Source organism: Homo sapiens, chromosome 4, assembly GCF_000001405.40.
Source record: "Homo sapiens chromosome 4, GRCh38.p14 Primary Assembly".
Classification (NCBI taxonomy): Eukaryota; Metazoa; Chordata; class Mammalia; order Primates; family Hominidae; genus Homo; species Homo sapiens.
In genome coordinates, this window is record NC_000004.12 from 64,313,808 (window position 1) to 64,330,929 (window position 17,122).

The window sequence follows — 17,122 nt, forward strand, 5'->3', positions numbered from 1 at the left end:
AATGGTATTTAATTTTGGATTTTGACTTATAAAAAGTAACTTGTGGCCGGGCGTGGTGGCTCATGCCTGTAATCCCAGCACTTTGGGAAGCCGAGGCGGGCGGATCACGAGGTCAGGAGATCAAGACCACCCTGGCTAACACGGTGAAATCCCGTCTCCACTAAAAATACAAAAAAAAAAAAAAAAAAAAAAATTAGCTGAGCATTGTGGCAAGCACCTGTAGTCCCAGCTACTCGGGAGGCTGAGGCAGGAGAATAGTGTGAACCCGGGAGGCGGAGCGTGCAGTGAGCCGAGATCAGGCCACTGCACTCCAGCCTGGGTGACAGAGCGAAACTCTGTCTCAAAAAATAATACCAATAATAAAATAAAATAAAAATAAAAATAAATAAAAAGTAACTTGTAAACTTTTTTCTTCCTGTTCATTACTTAGGTCATTATTTCTTTCCTATGTAACATTGCCAAATAAATAAATATATTTTTAGGGAAGCATTTGTATTTTATATCCTATACATGGTCTTTCAATTTTGTAATTGTAAACTTCTTTTGACTACGTTTCTGAATTTCGCAGTTGCTCTTGACAGCTGTGATCATTGGTAAATTACCTCTATTTTAAGGTATACCTAATAGTTCTTAGTTTACAAATTTGGAAGCTGGTGTACATACACTATGTGTGGTTATCTAAAATACATTTCCATAAAATGATATCCACTTCAATCGCGTTTAGTAACAACCTTTATTAATATTTTACCTGCTTACTAGTTCATCCCCTCCTTAACGTGTATGGTGTGTGTGTGTGTGTGTGTGTGTGTGTGTGTGTGTGTGTGTGTGTGTATCACTTACTGTACCACTGGGTGGCGTAATCTTCTAGCACTCTCTTTTCCATCATATATACATGGGATCCTCAAATAAAAGAGGAGGTATATTAGCAGAGGTCCTGTGTATTCAGCCAAAAACACCTGAAAATAAAACATGATTTAGATTAAACGATAAAAATAGATGTTTTTAAGGTTCATTTGTGTCTATGAGTATTAGCCTACTGCATAAATTGGTGAAACAGGTAGATTTTTTGTAACTAGATTAAGTGATATTGCAAATAACGACTTCCTTGGAAGAACCAGGGGGAGAAAGCCTAATATATGTATAGTTAATTTGGAATAAAAATAAATATTGAACCTAATAAACTGGTTTCTTTCTTCAGATATAGTAAAAAGGAGATTTTATTTTAATAAACTAACCATTATTAATATATTTTTCTGTGTATTTGCCCAGTCCAATACACACTTAATCTTCTGTATAAACTGTCCCTGTCAATAAATTGAATGAGCTAGAGTATCTTTTTTCTTTTTCTTTTTCTTATTCTTTTCTTCCCTACCCTACCCTCCATGGGCCTGTCAGCTTGAATCCATTGATTTGACTCTAATTCAAATGGAAACAATTCAGTTTTCTCTATTAGAAATTTTATATTTTAATTCTAATGAGTCTGGTTGTATGGTTAAAATAATTAACTTTTGAGTGCTTGAGCTGAGTGGGGGTAACCATATTTGAACTATAGAGAGACACTAACAATATTTGGAAAGGTAATTGAAAAAAGACGAAGTGATTGCAAAAGATTAATTGGCTAACTGGTCTAAATTTGATAGCTGTTTGATTTTTTAGTGCTAAAATCATGTTAAATTTCCTCTGAAGTATTTAGACAGATAAGGGAAAGTAATTTACTTTGGAGTTTTCAAAGAGAAAAAAATACAACTTAACAATAATAAATTTGACTACCATTAACTATTTTGTCTTCATCTGCTACCATTTTTTTTTAAGAAACAATTTGAATCTGCATGTTTTGCTCAAAAATGCAGTTAGCTGTCCACATTGGTTAGAAATCATGTTCACAGCTCTGTTGAGAAGATTGTTAGAATGAATAATACATATGCATGGTTTCATATATATTCATATGCATATATGTGTGTAATTAAAAGTTTTATATACATACATAATTACACACAAATACATAAATAGTAATTTACATATGGAGGTTTCTTCAGTTATAATTCTGTCTTTTAGAAATATATATATATTTTCTCATGTACCAAGAAAGATTTGTGTGTGAGAAGTAAAAACAATGCAACTTCTGATCAAGTCAATATAAAAAGCAATCTCATTTGAGAGACTGTAGTAATTTATGGCTTACAAAATACCCCATTATTCTATAGAAAATGTTTGCCACTTGTGAATGTGTAATGATAGAATGCCAAAACTCTGGAATAATGATGAGGGTAATTGTTTTAGTACAATAAAATGTTTAAAATAGTTATTTCAACACCAATTGATCTAGTGAAGTCAAATTTGAGCAAATTCTCTAAGAATATATCAGGAATATAAAATGTTGTGTACAATAGTTAACTTGGACCAAGTGTCAATCTTTATTAACTTAATAAAAATGCTAACACAGATCTGAAGTTTCTTCGCATGAGAGGAAATTAAACTATAATCTTATCTCAATCATCTCTCAAAAATAATTCAAGAGAGCCTACTAGTATATAAAATATGTTTTAGAAGGCTTAATATTTTATAAAGAATATTTTTCTGCTAGAATATGGAGGGTTATGAATAATATGTCCTGAAAGCACTAGAGAATGATAAGTAACTTTTGGACAATGCATTTAAAAAAATTATTTCAGTGCAAATAGAAGAAAGGGGAAAAGACGATTTATTAAACTTAGAAAGTAATCAGAAAATAGTTCAAGATGAAGAAAATAAGGGCTAGATAGACACATATTAATATGGTCTTCTGAAAATGGAACTGGTCTTTTCTACTAAAGGGAAATAAAACAAAATCAAAACCAAATACAATCAAGTAAACAGATAAGCAGTCATATACAAACCAAGTACATCGCAAGAACTTACAGACTAGAAACTCCCCTATAATACAGAATTATACTGAAGACTATATTCTAAAGAGGCAGATACACCTTTTTCTTATTTTGAAGACAAACACTATATTGAAATTTCAATTTATTTCTATTATCAAATAGTATTTATAGCTCCTCTTTCAAAAAGTTAACTGTATTAAACTAATCTTCTGTTTTGAATACAAAATTCATTGTTTGTACTAGGCAAGCAAGGAAATTGAGAGTCTTTGAAACCTCAGTGGAATCTTCAACGTGATATATGTACAAATTGAAAAAGGTAATAATCGGCCAGGCGCTGTGGCTCTCGCCTGTAATCCCAGCACTTTGGGAGGCCGAGGCGGGCGGATGACAAGGTCAGGAGATCGAGACCATCCTGGCTAACACGGTGAAACCCCGTCTCTACTAAAAATATAAAAAATTAGCCGGGCGTGGTGGCAGGTGCCTGGAATCCCAGCTACTCGGGAGGCTGAGGCAGAAGAATGGCGTGAACCTGGGAGGCGGAGCTTGCAGTGAGCCAAGATCATGGCCACTGCACTCCAGCCTGGGAGACAGAGCGAGACTCCGTCTCCAAAAAAAAAGAAAAAAAGAAAAAGGTAATAATCTGCTTAAAAAATACATTGAAACATGGCTGCAACTGTGAATTGGTGAGAGCCCATGTGCTTAAACTGTGCTTAATGCATTTCGTTTTATCTTGAAAAAAAAAAATGAGTGCTATCATTATTAGGGCATTGTTGGATTTACTGTCTCTTTTTCTAAAATTGCTATCAGCAGTTAAAAAAATGTATATTTCAGAATTGTTGAAAACAAAATAAAGTAGTTTTAACCTTAATCTCCTGAAGATAAGGGTGTTGCATAAAGTTTTGGGAGCATTTATCACTTGTAATACAGTAAGATCACTTTGTACTTAATGAATACTGTTGAAGTTAGTATCCTGCTAGATAAAGATTGTGGTTTTTTTGTAGTTTGACAGATAAATAACATATAATGGAGATTTCTATTCTATATAATTCAAACACAGAATACTAATGAGTCTAGTGAGAAAAACTGATCAAAATATTTTTAAAAAGCCTTTTTCAGCCTTCAGAGATTTAATGTCATTGAGGAATTAGAAGGTCAAAAATGTTGAAATGGGGGATCCAGAGAAGAGATTGAACCTTGCATAAGAAGCCTCATATGAGCCTGATAAGAACAGATTTTTGATGGGGCCTGGGAATAAAAAAACAAAAACAGTTGTTCATCATCTCCAAAGGATGAAGGTGGCCTCATAAAACTGTCTCCACAGATTCTAAAGCTCAACCTAAAATCATTTCAGTCATTGATTTGATCAAGATGACTTGGATCCAATAATACAGTTCATTCATTTAGAAGATGGTAACTTATATTTGAAAGAAGATAAAAATCACCGTAAGTCTCAGCTATCATTAAAATTTTTCACATACATTTTCTGTACTTAGAAATATGCAGGTATACAAAGACCAAACAGACTGTGAGCAAAACCAAGAGAAATAGCAAAAATAAAAATAAAAAAATTAAAGATGCACATAACAGGAATATCAGACACAAACTTTAACAAAAACTATCTCTTATGTGTTAAATGAAAGATAAGGTTGAGATTTTCAGATATGTAAAAACTTTGAAAAGAAAAATATTGAAATGTAATGTAAAATTTAAAAGAAGAATTTAAAGAGAATAATGGACAAGAAATAGTTGAATAGATAATGGTAGCTAATTTTTCAAATTATATGCATGTGTGTGTGTGCGCATGAACACATGAAACCACCAACTCAGATAAAACTAAAGCAAGGTAAATAAAAATATGATAATAATTGTGCATATCATAGTCAAATTGCCGATAACAAAACCAAACAAGAATTGTTTAGAAAAGACACATTACTTTCAAAGGAGTAAAGCTGACTTTTCAACAGAAACAATGGAATTCAGAAATTAAAAAAATAAAATATTGTGAAGTCAAGAAAAGAGAACTGCCAACATAAACTTATTTTTATGTAAAAATATTCTTTAACAATAAAAGTTAATAAGGACATGTTAAGATAAACAAGAATGGAGATAATTCATCAATGACAGAACTACAATAAAACACTAAAGATGTTCTTCAGGGAGAAGGAGACAGATGTAAGTTCAGCATTAGAAGAAATAACTAAATCGCAGCAAAAAGGTTAAGTCTAAAGGATAAAGTATTTGTTAGATAAAATTTTAGTAATGTATTTGGATTTAAGATATATGGAAAATTATATTGTACCAAAACCATGAAAATGAGTCAGGAGGTGCTCAAATGTAAAGTCATTCAATGTCATATTCAATATTTATGAAATATTTTTACCTTAGTAAAATCAAATGTAAAAATGTATATTAGCATTTAATATCTCAAGGGTTCACTCTGTAATCTCTTTGGTAACCCCTAGAATTAGTAAAATAGAAGATATAAATACCAAAATAACACAAAGGTAATAGAAAAGACAGCATGACAATTAATTCAAAATAAGGTAAGAAAAAAAGAGAAATAAGGGTTATAGAACACGTGAGACAAATTGAAGAAAATTAGATTTAGACATTAAAAATGTGAAATTTACAATAAAAATAGGGTATCATTACAGTGTAAAACATAAAACTACTAAACTCATAAGAAAATGCAGGAGAGAACTCCAGGACCTACAACTAAGTTGAAGGATTCTTATATATGAAAGTAAAAGCATAATCTTTAAAAGAAAACCTTGATAAATTAGACTGCATTAAAATTGAAAACAATTCTTTCAGTGAAAAGTTCTGCTAAGATGATGAAAAGACAAGTTAAAGAAGGAGAGAAAATATTTCCAAACCACATATACAAGGACTCGTATCTACATTACATAAAGAATTCTCAAGACTCAACACTGTATCCCAGATAAATTTTTTAAAAAGTTCATACAAATACCCCTAATATTCATTGCAGCTTTATTTGTTAATAGCAAAATACTAAAAACCACCCAAATGTAATTCAAAGAGTAAGTGGTTAAACAAAGTCCATTACATCCATATAACTGAATACTACTCACCAATGTAAAGGAACCAATTATTGATACAAACAAAAATCAGGATGGATTTCAAGGACACTATGCTTACAGAAAAATTAACATCAATCTCAAAATATTGTCTGAATCCTTTTATAGAGCATTTTCCACATGACAAAAATATGGAGATGAAGAACACATCAGTGGTTACTCCAGGATAGGAAAAAGTGTATGTAAGTATGCAAAGATAAAAGGAAGAAGTTCCTTCTTAAGGATGAAGCAATTCTCTATCTTGACATTGGTGTTAGATACATGAACTTATACAAGGGATAAATTGTATAGAATTACACATTAACTCATACATACATGAATTAATACAAAAATGGTGAAAACTGCATAACTTTAATTAATTAACAGTCTTCATATAATGAGAATTGTTATATTTTCATATTAATCTTTTATCCTAAGTTTTTTAGTAAGTTAAATGAGGCAAGATTTTACTCAATATTTTGTAACACACTGTTAGTTGGAGAAAAATATTAAAATCTTAATTTTAACCTTGCTAAATTAGATTATTTCCCTATTATATTATTTATTATAGGAACAAATTTTCATATTTTTCAATGAACAAGAATGTCATATGTGGTAAAACATTACTTTTGTTGCATAATTTAGTTGATCTGAAATGGGTGTAATTGCAATGTAATGTGTATATTTTTAGCATTTAATAGAACTGACTCATTTGGAGCAAAAAGATGTGTGATCCATGGGGTTGATGTAGAAATATCCAGCCTATTTGCAGAGTTCTCTTTGTCACATAGATGATTTTCCTCTCAAACAAGCTATAATTTTCTAGTACAATTGTCAAATAATTCCACTATAGTGTGTTTTCTTCTCAGTGCTTATCCAAGTGATGAAGCTGAAATTTCTAATGATTTAATGGTTTAATGCTGCTCACCCTGACACAATTTCTGTAAACAGAGTTCCCTTTTCGTTGTAAATGTGGACAAAGACCCTGTGAATATTTTAACCTTTGAAGACCAAACACTCTTTTCTAAAATCTCTTTAAGCAAAGGTCTGTAGACATCACATTTAAGTACAGTATTAAAACTTTATTTGCAAATGCATGCATCGTCTATAGGTTGTTTTCTAAACATTAAAATGTGCTTCACAAGAATTCATAAGGTTCTAAACTCAATCTTTAGTGGTACAAGTTAGTACTCAAAAGCTCAATATACTTTGGAAAATAAATCAACTATTTTTTTTCATTTGATATTCATTTATTTGTTTGTTCAAAAAATATTTATTGAGCTCCTTACTGTACTGCAAACACGACCATAGAACATTGGCAGCTTCTTTTCTCACCTTTGTGGGCATATATACTACTAATTTCTTAAAGTTTTTCACACAGAAAATATTTTCTTAATGAAAACATAAAATAGAACTCATTAATTACATGGGAAATATATCTTAAAAAGAAAGACTGTTAGAAAATATTCACAGATGTAGCAATATTTTAATTAATAAATTTAAAATTAAATTTGTGTTAGATTAAAATTAACAAATATTAATGTATAAATTATCATACATTTGTAAAACTTACAAAAATTGGTTGTTTAATTGTAAAGAAACAGCTCAAATCACTATGAATGGTAATGTTGATTGATTGTTAATTGTGGCAAAAAGAAAAGTCATTTTGAATAGAAAAATATTAAAAGTAATCACAAATATGGAGTGGAATGTAAATGCAAAGAAAAACTTTCATAGTTTAAATAATACAAATAACAGAAGTTTAATGTAATTGAAAGAAAAGGAGCTCATTATTCTTTGTATATCAAAACTGTTTATTAATTTTTCACTGCCTCTGTTACTAAATATCATATTAACATTTCCTCTTGCTGTTGAAGCTATTCCATTGATTTATTCTATTACCCATGAGTGTTTCAATACTGTGCACTAGTACCAAGTATTTTCACTGCCTCTTAACCCTCTATGTCTTTTCAATGTCGTCCTCATTCATCTAATGCCATTTTCAAATACCATGATTTTAACACCTGCTATTTTCCTCCAAAAAGAGCCAAAATAATATTTTCACAGGCTGAAGGAAGTTTACTTTTTCATGGTCAGTTGCCAAAAGTTTGTTTCTCTGCCTGAGAACCTCCTTTTTAACTGGATATTCTATACTCTTCTCTCCAGTGTCAAAAGAATCTGTGATGTTCCTAGATTACTAGAAGGAAAAGGTAAAGAGATACCATGTAAATAACAAAGCATAGGTGGAGCAGATGAAACCAGCCCAATAGTCCCATAGACAGTTATTTTTGGATAAATGTAGAAATTGACCCCTATTACTGTTAAAGTTTGAAACTTGTATCTGTTCTACCTAAGCTCATTCCTCAGGAGAGAACCTTCAGCTCTCTCAAAAGAGTATCAAAGAACTGAAATTCATCAGATCACCCCACCAGATGCCTCCTTGTCCCTCCCTAGTACATGTTTTCTTACACATTGTTACATTTCTTCCCTGCTATATAAACCCCTAGTTTTAGTCAGTCAGGCAGATGGATGTGAGACTGAGCTCCCATCTCCTCAGGGGCAGCTTCCAACTGAAGCCTTCTTCCTTGGCAATACTTGTCATCACCATCATTGGCTTTCTGTGCAGTGAGCAGCAGGACCTAGACCGAACCTCTGGTATTTTGGTAACAAAGTTGAAGCTCCCAGTAATAGAGTGGGTTGACTTTAAAAAAAAAAAAAAAAAAAAAAGGAACTTATCTTCCTTTTTCAAAACTGTGGTTTTTCTATTGCTCCAATACTTGAGTAGAACTTTGGCCACTCGTCATAGTAAGAATAGAAAATTAAAAATACCTTTCACTACATTTTGTTTCGCTATGAGTTTATTTGATAGAATTAATCTGTCAATAAATTATTTAGAGCAAAATATGAGAAATGTATATTACATTTCAAATTAACACTTACTGTGGTCCAACTGACTTGTTGACCTAGGTCTGTAGCATACAGTGTGACAATGGAGGAAGCTGCAATACTTTGAATGGTAATGTAGTCCTTCAAAAAAGGCCCGCCTAAAATAAAAATAACAAGAAAATTTTATTTTAATACAATTTCTTAGCATAACGATAAAGAATTTCTTAGTGTAAAATCAGTAAAAGCTAAAGATTAATTTAATATGGAAATTACAATGTACAAGAAATCTTCAAAGTAAAACAAAATGTGAACAATGCCATTTTATAACATATATCTAGCAACTCTTCAAATGCACAGTGGTTTCCCAATACCATCTACCCAAAATTTAGACTACCATTAGTTACTATCCTATTATTTCTGAGAACATGTTATATTAGGACCTAAACAAATAACATACAGGAATTTTTTTAAAGTGTAATTTTAGGACAGGTGTGAAGGCTCACATCTGTAATCTCAAAACTTTGTCGAGCTGAGGTGAGCAGATCGCTTGAGCCCAGGAGTTCCATCTTGGTGACATGACAAAACCCTGTCTCTACAAAAAAACAGAAAAAAATTAGCCAGGCATGGTGCTGTGTGCCTGTAGTCCCAGCAATTCAGGAGGCTGAGGTGGGAGGATTGCTTGAGCCAGGGAGGTCAAGGCTACAGTGAACTGTGATCGCTTCACTGTACTCCAGTCTGGGCGACAAAGAGACCCTGCCTCAAAATGAAAACAAAACAAAACAACAAAAAGTGTAATTTTGAGTGTTAGTAGAACTACACCTCAACTACTTTCTAAATGATTTTATAAGAGCATAAATTAGTGGTGGATAGATGAATGGTCCCTCCAAAGCACCGGGAGAATGGTGTAATTTATCTTTTTAAAATATATTCTGGATGCTGTGTGAAAAATAGAAAGAAGGGAAGCAAGGTGATTATTTAGGAGACATTTAAAATTAATCCAGCTGGAGCTGATGTTTGTTGAGATTAAGGTGGTACTGGTGAGAATGTTAAAATGTATCAGTTGTAAATATATTTGGAACATAGCCTAGATTCAACTTCTTGATCAGCTGATTGAAAGGAGAAGATTCAGTGAGGTAAAGACAGTTAGATTTTTGGCCCGAGTACTTAAATGCATTGTAATGTCATTAACTGACATGAAGAAGACTACAGAAAAAGCAAGATCTGAGGGTAAAATTAAGAGTCCTTAAGGTATTTTAAGTGTGTGGTATCTCTTAGACATTCAAGAAAGAACTGACAAATAGGCAGCAGGGTAGAAGTGTGTGTAGATATTTGAAAGTCATTAACATTTAAAACCGTGGGGCTTCATGAGATTGTTTGTGTATTCAGCATGGAAAGAAAGGAATGAAAACACACTAAGGTTTCCAGTATTACAGACTTTAGACATAGTAAGACAAAGATATAACAAAGGTTACTTAAAGGAGCTACTCATAAGATAGAGGTAAAATAAACATAATTGACTCCATTCTTAAAAATAACCATCAGACAAGTCTGGAATGTGTATATGGGAAGATATGTAAAAAAATATCTTTTTAAGCACTATTTATAATAAAATATTTGAAAAACACTTAAATGTTATTTAATAAGGTAAGAGATAAATATTTTGTTTTATTTAAAGAAATGTATACCAAGCAGGAAGAAAAATGAGTAGACTAGAGCTCAAATACCAAAATGGATTAATCTCTCAAATATAATCCTATTATTGTTGTTATTATTATTGTTATACTTAACATATGTTATTTGTGATTTATATTATCTACATCATTAAAAGGCATCATTCCAGTCTCTATTTTTGAAATAAATAAAAAAAGTTAATTTGCATCTACCATTAGATGATCTTTCAGAATCCAAGATATCTGCTTATATTTATAATTAAAGGTCTTTTAAAAGGAAACAAAAAATATACAATTATTGTATATTACATTTGAAGGCAGAAATTTGATAAATCCACTTTTAACAGCCAGATAATTTAGGTGGTCATGTTAATGTATATGGTTCTCTGGGTACTTTATTGAAAACAATTTCATAGTTATATTTTAGAAATTTCATGTAAATTGATTACTATTTGTAAAATACATACATATATATACATATATAATTACATATAATTTGGTATTGCTTTGAAAATGTGAATGTAGTCCTGTGTTTACCTAAGAACACATGTGTGGTAGGCAGATTTCTTAGATAATCCTCAGGATTTCTGCTACCTGTATAATCCCTGAGGTTCTGCATATGATATAGGCTATTACTCTGTTGATTAAATTATATTGCATGGCTTTAAAAAATGAGATTATCTAGGTAGTCCTGATTTATTGCATGAGTTTTTATAATGTGTGTGCAGAAATCAGAGACAGAGGAATTCAGAGATCCAGTGCATTGGGAAGATTCACTGTGCTATTGCTGGCTTGAAGATGGAGAAGGTCAACGTCAAGGATACAGGTGGCCTTTGAGAAAAGACAGCCACCTCTAGGAAGTGACAGCCAGCAAGAACACAGGAACTTCTTCCATGCAACTGCAAAGACCAAACAAACAGACAAACAAACATAAAATGCAAAAGGGTGCTCTCACCATTATTCCATCTGCGATGAGCACCCTTTCTGCAGAAAGTAATAATTGCCTTGCTGAGAGAATTAAATTTATGTTTGAGTGCTATTTCTTTGGAGCACCAGGGAACAAGCATTTCCAACACAAACTCTTCCAATAACACAAAAGAAGATGGAAGTGGCTTTTTGTCAAGAGTCTTCACATGAGAATTCAGTTCAGTCAACACTCTGATTCCAGTCTTATACAATCCTAATCAGAGAATCAAGCCATAATATGGCTTCAATCTAATAAATGATAGTTTTTTTATACTGCTAAATTTGTGTAAATTTGTTACATAGCAATACAAAACTTTCACAATATGGATCAAGGTGAAGGCTTTGATATCAAAATTGTCAGTAGTATTAAGACAATTATGTATAAGAACAAGAAAATGTTAAAAAGGACAAAAAATTCAGCTGGCTTTGTATCACTTGAAAGTGTGCTGAAAATATGTTTCCAATATACATCTATTAGCACCCTTAGAAAAGGGGTTAGTTTCTACCCTTCTATCATGCTTGCCAACTTCAAAGAACAGATCATTGGCATTCTATTTTTAAAATGTGGTCCCATGAATATGAGATTTTGAAAAAATGACTTGATAAAATCTAGATGTATCAATAATCATAGCGTTCAGACTCAAGAAAAAGGGACCATTGTCCTTGGCTTTCCATGATTATGTCCCTTATCAAAGGGAGAGGAATATATAGGGCCAAGAGGACAGGAAATACCTAACTAGATCCCATGACATATCTTTCTAGATCATGCTTCAGCCACTTAAGGGCCCTGAATTTCCTGACCAAATTAACACAAGCACAACCTGGTCTTTGGATATTCCCTCCCAAGTATGGGCCTGGAACTGGGGTACACAACAAACCTAGTGGTTTGTCAAGACTATTGTATAAAGGATGTGGATGGAGCTTTGATGTATTGCTTGGAAACAGTGATGGAAAAAAATCTATTTTTTCTATGTAGAAATCCAATCATTTTAAACATTAGAAATTTTCCCAGTCCTTCCAGGACATTATAAAGCATATTAATAAAGGTAGGAATATACAAAATATTTTACTTACCAGATTATATGACAGATTTATTGTAAAAATTGCTGAAATTCTTCCCCATATGCACACCATATACAGTATGACCTTGTAGTTCTTCTCAGTGATAGCTGTTCTCATATTCCCACCCCTTGAATATGGGCTAACTAGTGACTTGCAGGACAAGTGATCATTTGCTATTTCCAAACCTGGGCTTCAACAATTCTTTAGTACCTCTGCTCATTTTTATACCTCTACTCCCAGCTTGTGAGTAGTCCAAACTATTTTGCTGAGGGGTGAGAGACCACATTGAACAAAGGGAATTTCATGAAAGTTGTGGTTATTGTAGACCAATCATTCCCTAACAGCCCAGCAGCTCACTGCAGCTGCATGCATGAACCTATCCAAGTTCAGCTAAATATAGCACAGCTCAGCAGAGACACAGAGCTAAAGAACTGGTTAAAATTTTACCCATGAAAATCAATGCTTCTATTTTATTTGTGTTTTAAAGGTTTCTTTTGTGTGAGGAAACTATAGAAGTCTCTAATATTCATATAAGATCAATGATTCTAGTACGTATATTTTGGGAGCAAATGTATAAATATTAAGACCCTGCTTTGTTTTGGTATTGCCTTTTTTTCTTCTTAATATTAATAGTTATGACTAAGATTGATGGAGCAACTAGCCTGTGCCAATCATCATATGCATTATAAACATATAAACACTAACACTTTAAAAATGATTTAAGTGGTTTTTTTAGTTCTGCCATATAAAAGAAGACCATGTAGGCAAGTAAGTATGAGAGGGTCAATCAAATGTAGAAATCTGAATCAATCCAAATGAGCTTTGGATTTTGATTTCTTTGCACCATATCTCACTAAATCAGTTGACTTTTTTTTCAAATACATCATTACAGTTCTTTTTAAGGACACTGCGACAACTATATTTTACTCATCTCACACCCCATCCTGGTACACTCAACTAGGTAAATAAATTTGGGAGAAAAGGAATATGTCATATTCACCAGAACACTGAACTAACAGAAATTTATCAGTCTCTTAATAGTGTCCTTCAAATGGAAGTTACATTTGACAATGTTGTCTGTGACACTCTTTGAGGCTTCTTTGTGTAAGAGTCAATTTCATTTCATATATGTCAACATCCATGTATTGAAAGGCACTTATGTGCTGACATGTGCTAGGCCCTATGAAGGCAAAAGTAGATGAGACAATAATTTGTCTTTCTTAAACTCTAGGTAGGTGGGAATTTGTCTTGAACATTTGAGCAAAAATAAATTTGAGAGAATCAGAAAAGTGTGGCTCCTAGAAATCTTGCATATTTCTTTGTTTTGAACATACAGTTCTCAGAGAACGATTAAATGTTTAAGACAGCAATGAAAACACTCGTAACAGTTTCGAGAGACTCAAAGAAATAATCATTTGTCTTTAAGTGCATGTAATACCTAAGAGAGGGCAACCTAAATATTAGGAAAAGCAATAGAAAAAAAATTCAACTCATTATTTATGAAAAATTGGGAGATTGAAATTCCTTAAGAGGTACCTCCTATAGATTTACTATTAAAGGCTTTTTCATTCTATCCTGAAAAAAAGTACATGCTACCCACAGCTTTCATTAAAATTTTAAACTCCAAATTTAAAATAAAGTTGATGTAGTGTCAGCAACAGTAATTATTGGTAGGAGCCATTTTTAAGTGCATTTATTGATAAATTTCTTGAGATCATAGGGTTTAAAAATCTGAGAAATTTGAGGTTTAATAGTGGGCATAATGCTTCTTCTCCAAATTCATTAGTTTTGTTCCTTATGTCACTTATTCTGCTTTATAACAGCAAAAAGAAAAAGAAAAAATTGAAAAAGCTAAGCATTAACCTTAAGAATATATTATGGAGCAGTAGAATGAGAAGGTGACCAGTTAAAGCTTCACAGACGACCAGTTAAAGCTTCACAAACAAAAATATTTTAGTTTCAGAATCTGCTTCTAAAACTCACAGACAGTGAATATGTAAAAAATACCTATTTGAGACTAAATTATTCATTTATAAAAGTGGAGCTCTAGTTTGTTGGGCGAATCAATTAAATAATACTAATATTTGTATATTTGCAAAGTGATAAGTGAATGTCAGCTTTTGAAAATAGAAAAGGGATTATAAATTAAATAAACACATCAGTGAAAAATGCTTCTTACCACATTCTAGCTGCAGACCAACTCGAGAAGGGTACCACTTTGGACCTATTCAATGAAAAATAACATTTAATTGTCAGAAAAAGTGTAACTATAGCTTATAAAACTAACTGTTTCCATGGGAAGACCATTTAGATCTAGGAAGTAAATAAAATGGGTTATCTAGTGTCAGAAATAGAAATAGTGGTTACCTTTTGTAGGGTACTGACCAGCAATGACGGATAGTGACTGAGAGAAAGCATGAGGAAAGCTTTAAAAGTGGTAAGTTTCTGCTTTTTGATTTTGGGACTTGTTATATAGGTGTGTTCAGGTTTTGGACATGCATCAGGTAGTATGAGCTATGACTTGTGCACTTCAGTCTATGTAAGTTTTTCATCAATAAAAAGCTTGAAAATATTTTATTTAAAATTGGGAACTTTAATCTCATTTCAAATTCATCTAATATTTGCACCTGAAATTGGGTTATTTTCTCTATCAAGAGTAAATACTAAGATGTCTATCAGAATTATATGTATCATTGACTTTTAATATTATGAGTTTATTGGTCATAGCAGAAGCATCACTTGAAATTTTCTTTTTGTACTACCGTTAGGAATAAAGAGAGCACTAAATAATTCTGTCGCTATAGAAAAATCAAATCATCTTTATTATACACTGCCATAATGAAGAGTTGATTCACAATTATCAGAATATAACTTTATCTTAAAATAAATTCTATACTATCGTTTTAAAGTCTCCATTAAAAGTTTACTTCTTAACTTTGAGATTAAACTTTAAACAAATTTACCACACGTATAATAAATTTTTAAAAGAGTATTTTTAAAGGAATTTTCCACAATTATCTTCTTTTTTTTCAATACATTCATGGGAGAAAGCAGAGATGACTCAGGACTAGAAAGGGATGAGAGTGCTTCATGGAAATGAGAAACCATGGACAGAGCCTCTATTAATAGGTAATATATTACTAGTTGAAAGAAAAGAGGAAGTTCGGATGAAAAATATATGTGGGTAATTTTAAGAATATATTGTATGTTTTACCTTCTAAAGTCTATTATGTGTGGGTATTGTAAATGCATACACTGACGTAAATTTAACTATCTAGAAAATATGTTATTTTCCTAAAACTAGTAAATCAAAACATAAAACATAGCTGAGAGATGCTACTTAGAGATAATTAGCTCCGTGACTTTCTATAGCCAAGTAATTTTATTTGGTTAAAAATTATATTGCTTTGATTACAACTTTTCAATGCATTTACAATAATAATAAATAAATACCCCAAATATAGCCGTGATATTAAAAGTCAAATTAATATACTCAATTATTAGTACTTTTTAAATAATAAATATTTGTAAGATTGAATATAGTACAATAAATGTTGAAAGGCCACAGAATGATACATAAAACTCTTATTCTATTTTATAAGGGAAAACTGAGGGTTCTACTTTACTATTTTATTGTACTATTTACTGTACTATTTACTGTACAGTAAAATAGTACTATTTTACTGTACTATTGAGGAAAGAGAAAAAGGAGAAACTAAAAATGAAGAAAAAATCAGAGAAACATCTATCATGGCTTAAAGTAACCAAAATATGTTTATATGCTACCTAAAATAATAAAGTCATAATGTGCTGCTTAGCAACACCTGATTATGCATTGAATGCAACAATGTTAGAAGAACCGTGAAGTGTCTGGTAGTCTTAACAAATTTACAGAAATAAAACCTGCCAATTTATTTTCTGAAATATGAACACTAAAATGAATTGAATGTTGACTCTTGTAATTCTAAGACCTTACAAAACTCCTGTTTGGAACTGAACATTAGCGACCTCTTAAGGATACTTAATGATTGACAGGATATATATGGTCATTGCACATGTGGAAATTTAACTCAATATTGATCAAAAGTTCAAATGTTGATAGCCCATAGGGTGGTGTTAACATTATAATAGGAGTAAAATATATCTCAAGTAAAAAAGATGTTAATTAATGTTAAACTTTAATTAATCAGCTGAGCGTGGTGGTTCACACCTGTAATCACAACACTTTGGGAGGCCAAGACAGGAAGAATACTTGACCCTTGGAGTTCAAGACTAGCCTGGGCAATATAATGAGACTGTCTCTACCACAAATAAAAGTTTAATTAATCACAAAACTTTATCCCATAGAAAGAAATAACAAAGGTGAATATCACTGAATTCATATTAGACTATAGCTGATCCTCCCCCCAAATAAAGTGATTAATGGGAGAAAACATTCTAGTTGTCAAGAAAAACAGAATTATATTTGTTATTAACTAAATTTGAAGCATGCAGTCAATACAATAAGAATGGCAGTTCTATTCTAAACAAATACCACATCCTAAAGATGAACATATTTTATTTCTGGCAATATAGACACGCATATAACTATTATTCT

The 17,122-nt window shown here is 31.8% G+C and overlaps 1 protein-coding gene across 9 annotated transcripts in view; it reads right to left on the reverse strand.

Moving 5' to 3' along the window:
* The window catches only part of TECRL (trans-2,3-enoyl-CoA reductase like), a 133,163-nt gene that overhangs the window by 37,510 nt on the left and 78,531 nt on the right, over positions 1–17,122 (reverse strand). For 6 of the 9 annotated variants that reach the window (XR_001741192.3, XM_005265664.4, NM_001363796.1 and 3 more), the window contains exons 3-5: positions 14,705–14,749; positions 8,882–8,985; positions 841–956 (exon numbers count right to left, since the gene is read on the reverse strand). Coding sequence is in view for 8 of the 9 variants with exons in the window: in XM_005265664.4 (XP_005265721.1) it covers positions 841–956; positions 8,882–8,985; positions 14,705–14,749 (265 nt within the window). In the remaining variant the exon portion in view is untranslated. The remainder of the gene's footprint in view (positions 1–840; positions 957–8,881; positions 8,986–14,704; positions 14,750–17,122) is intronic. The other 3 variants (XM_024453961.2, XM_024453962.2, XM_005265662.6) reach the window with 1 other exon arrangement.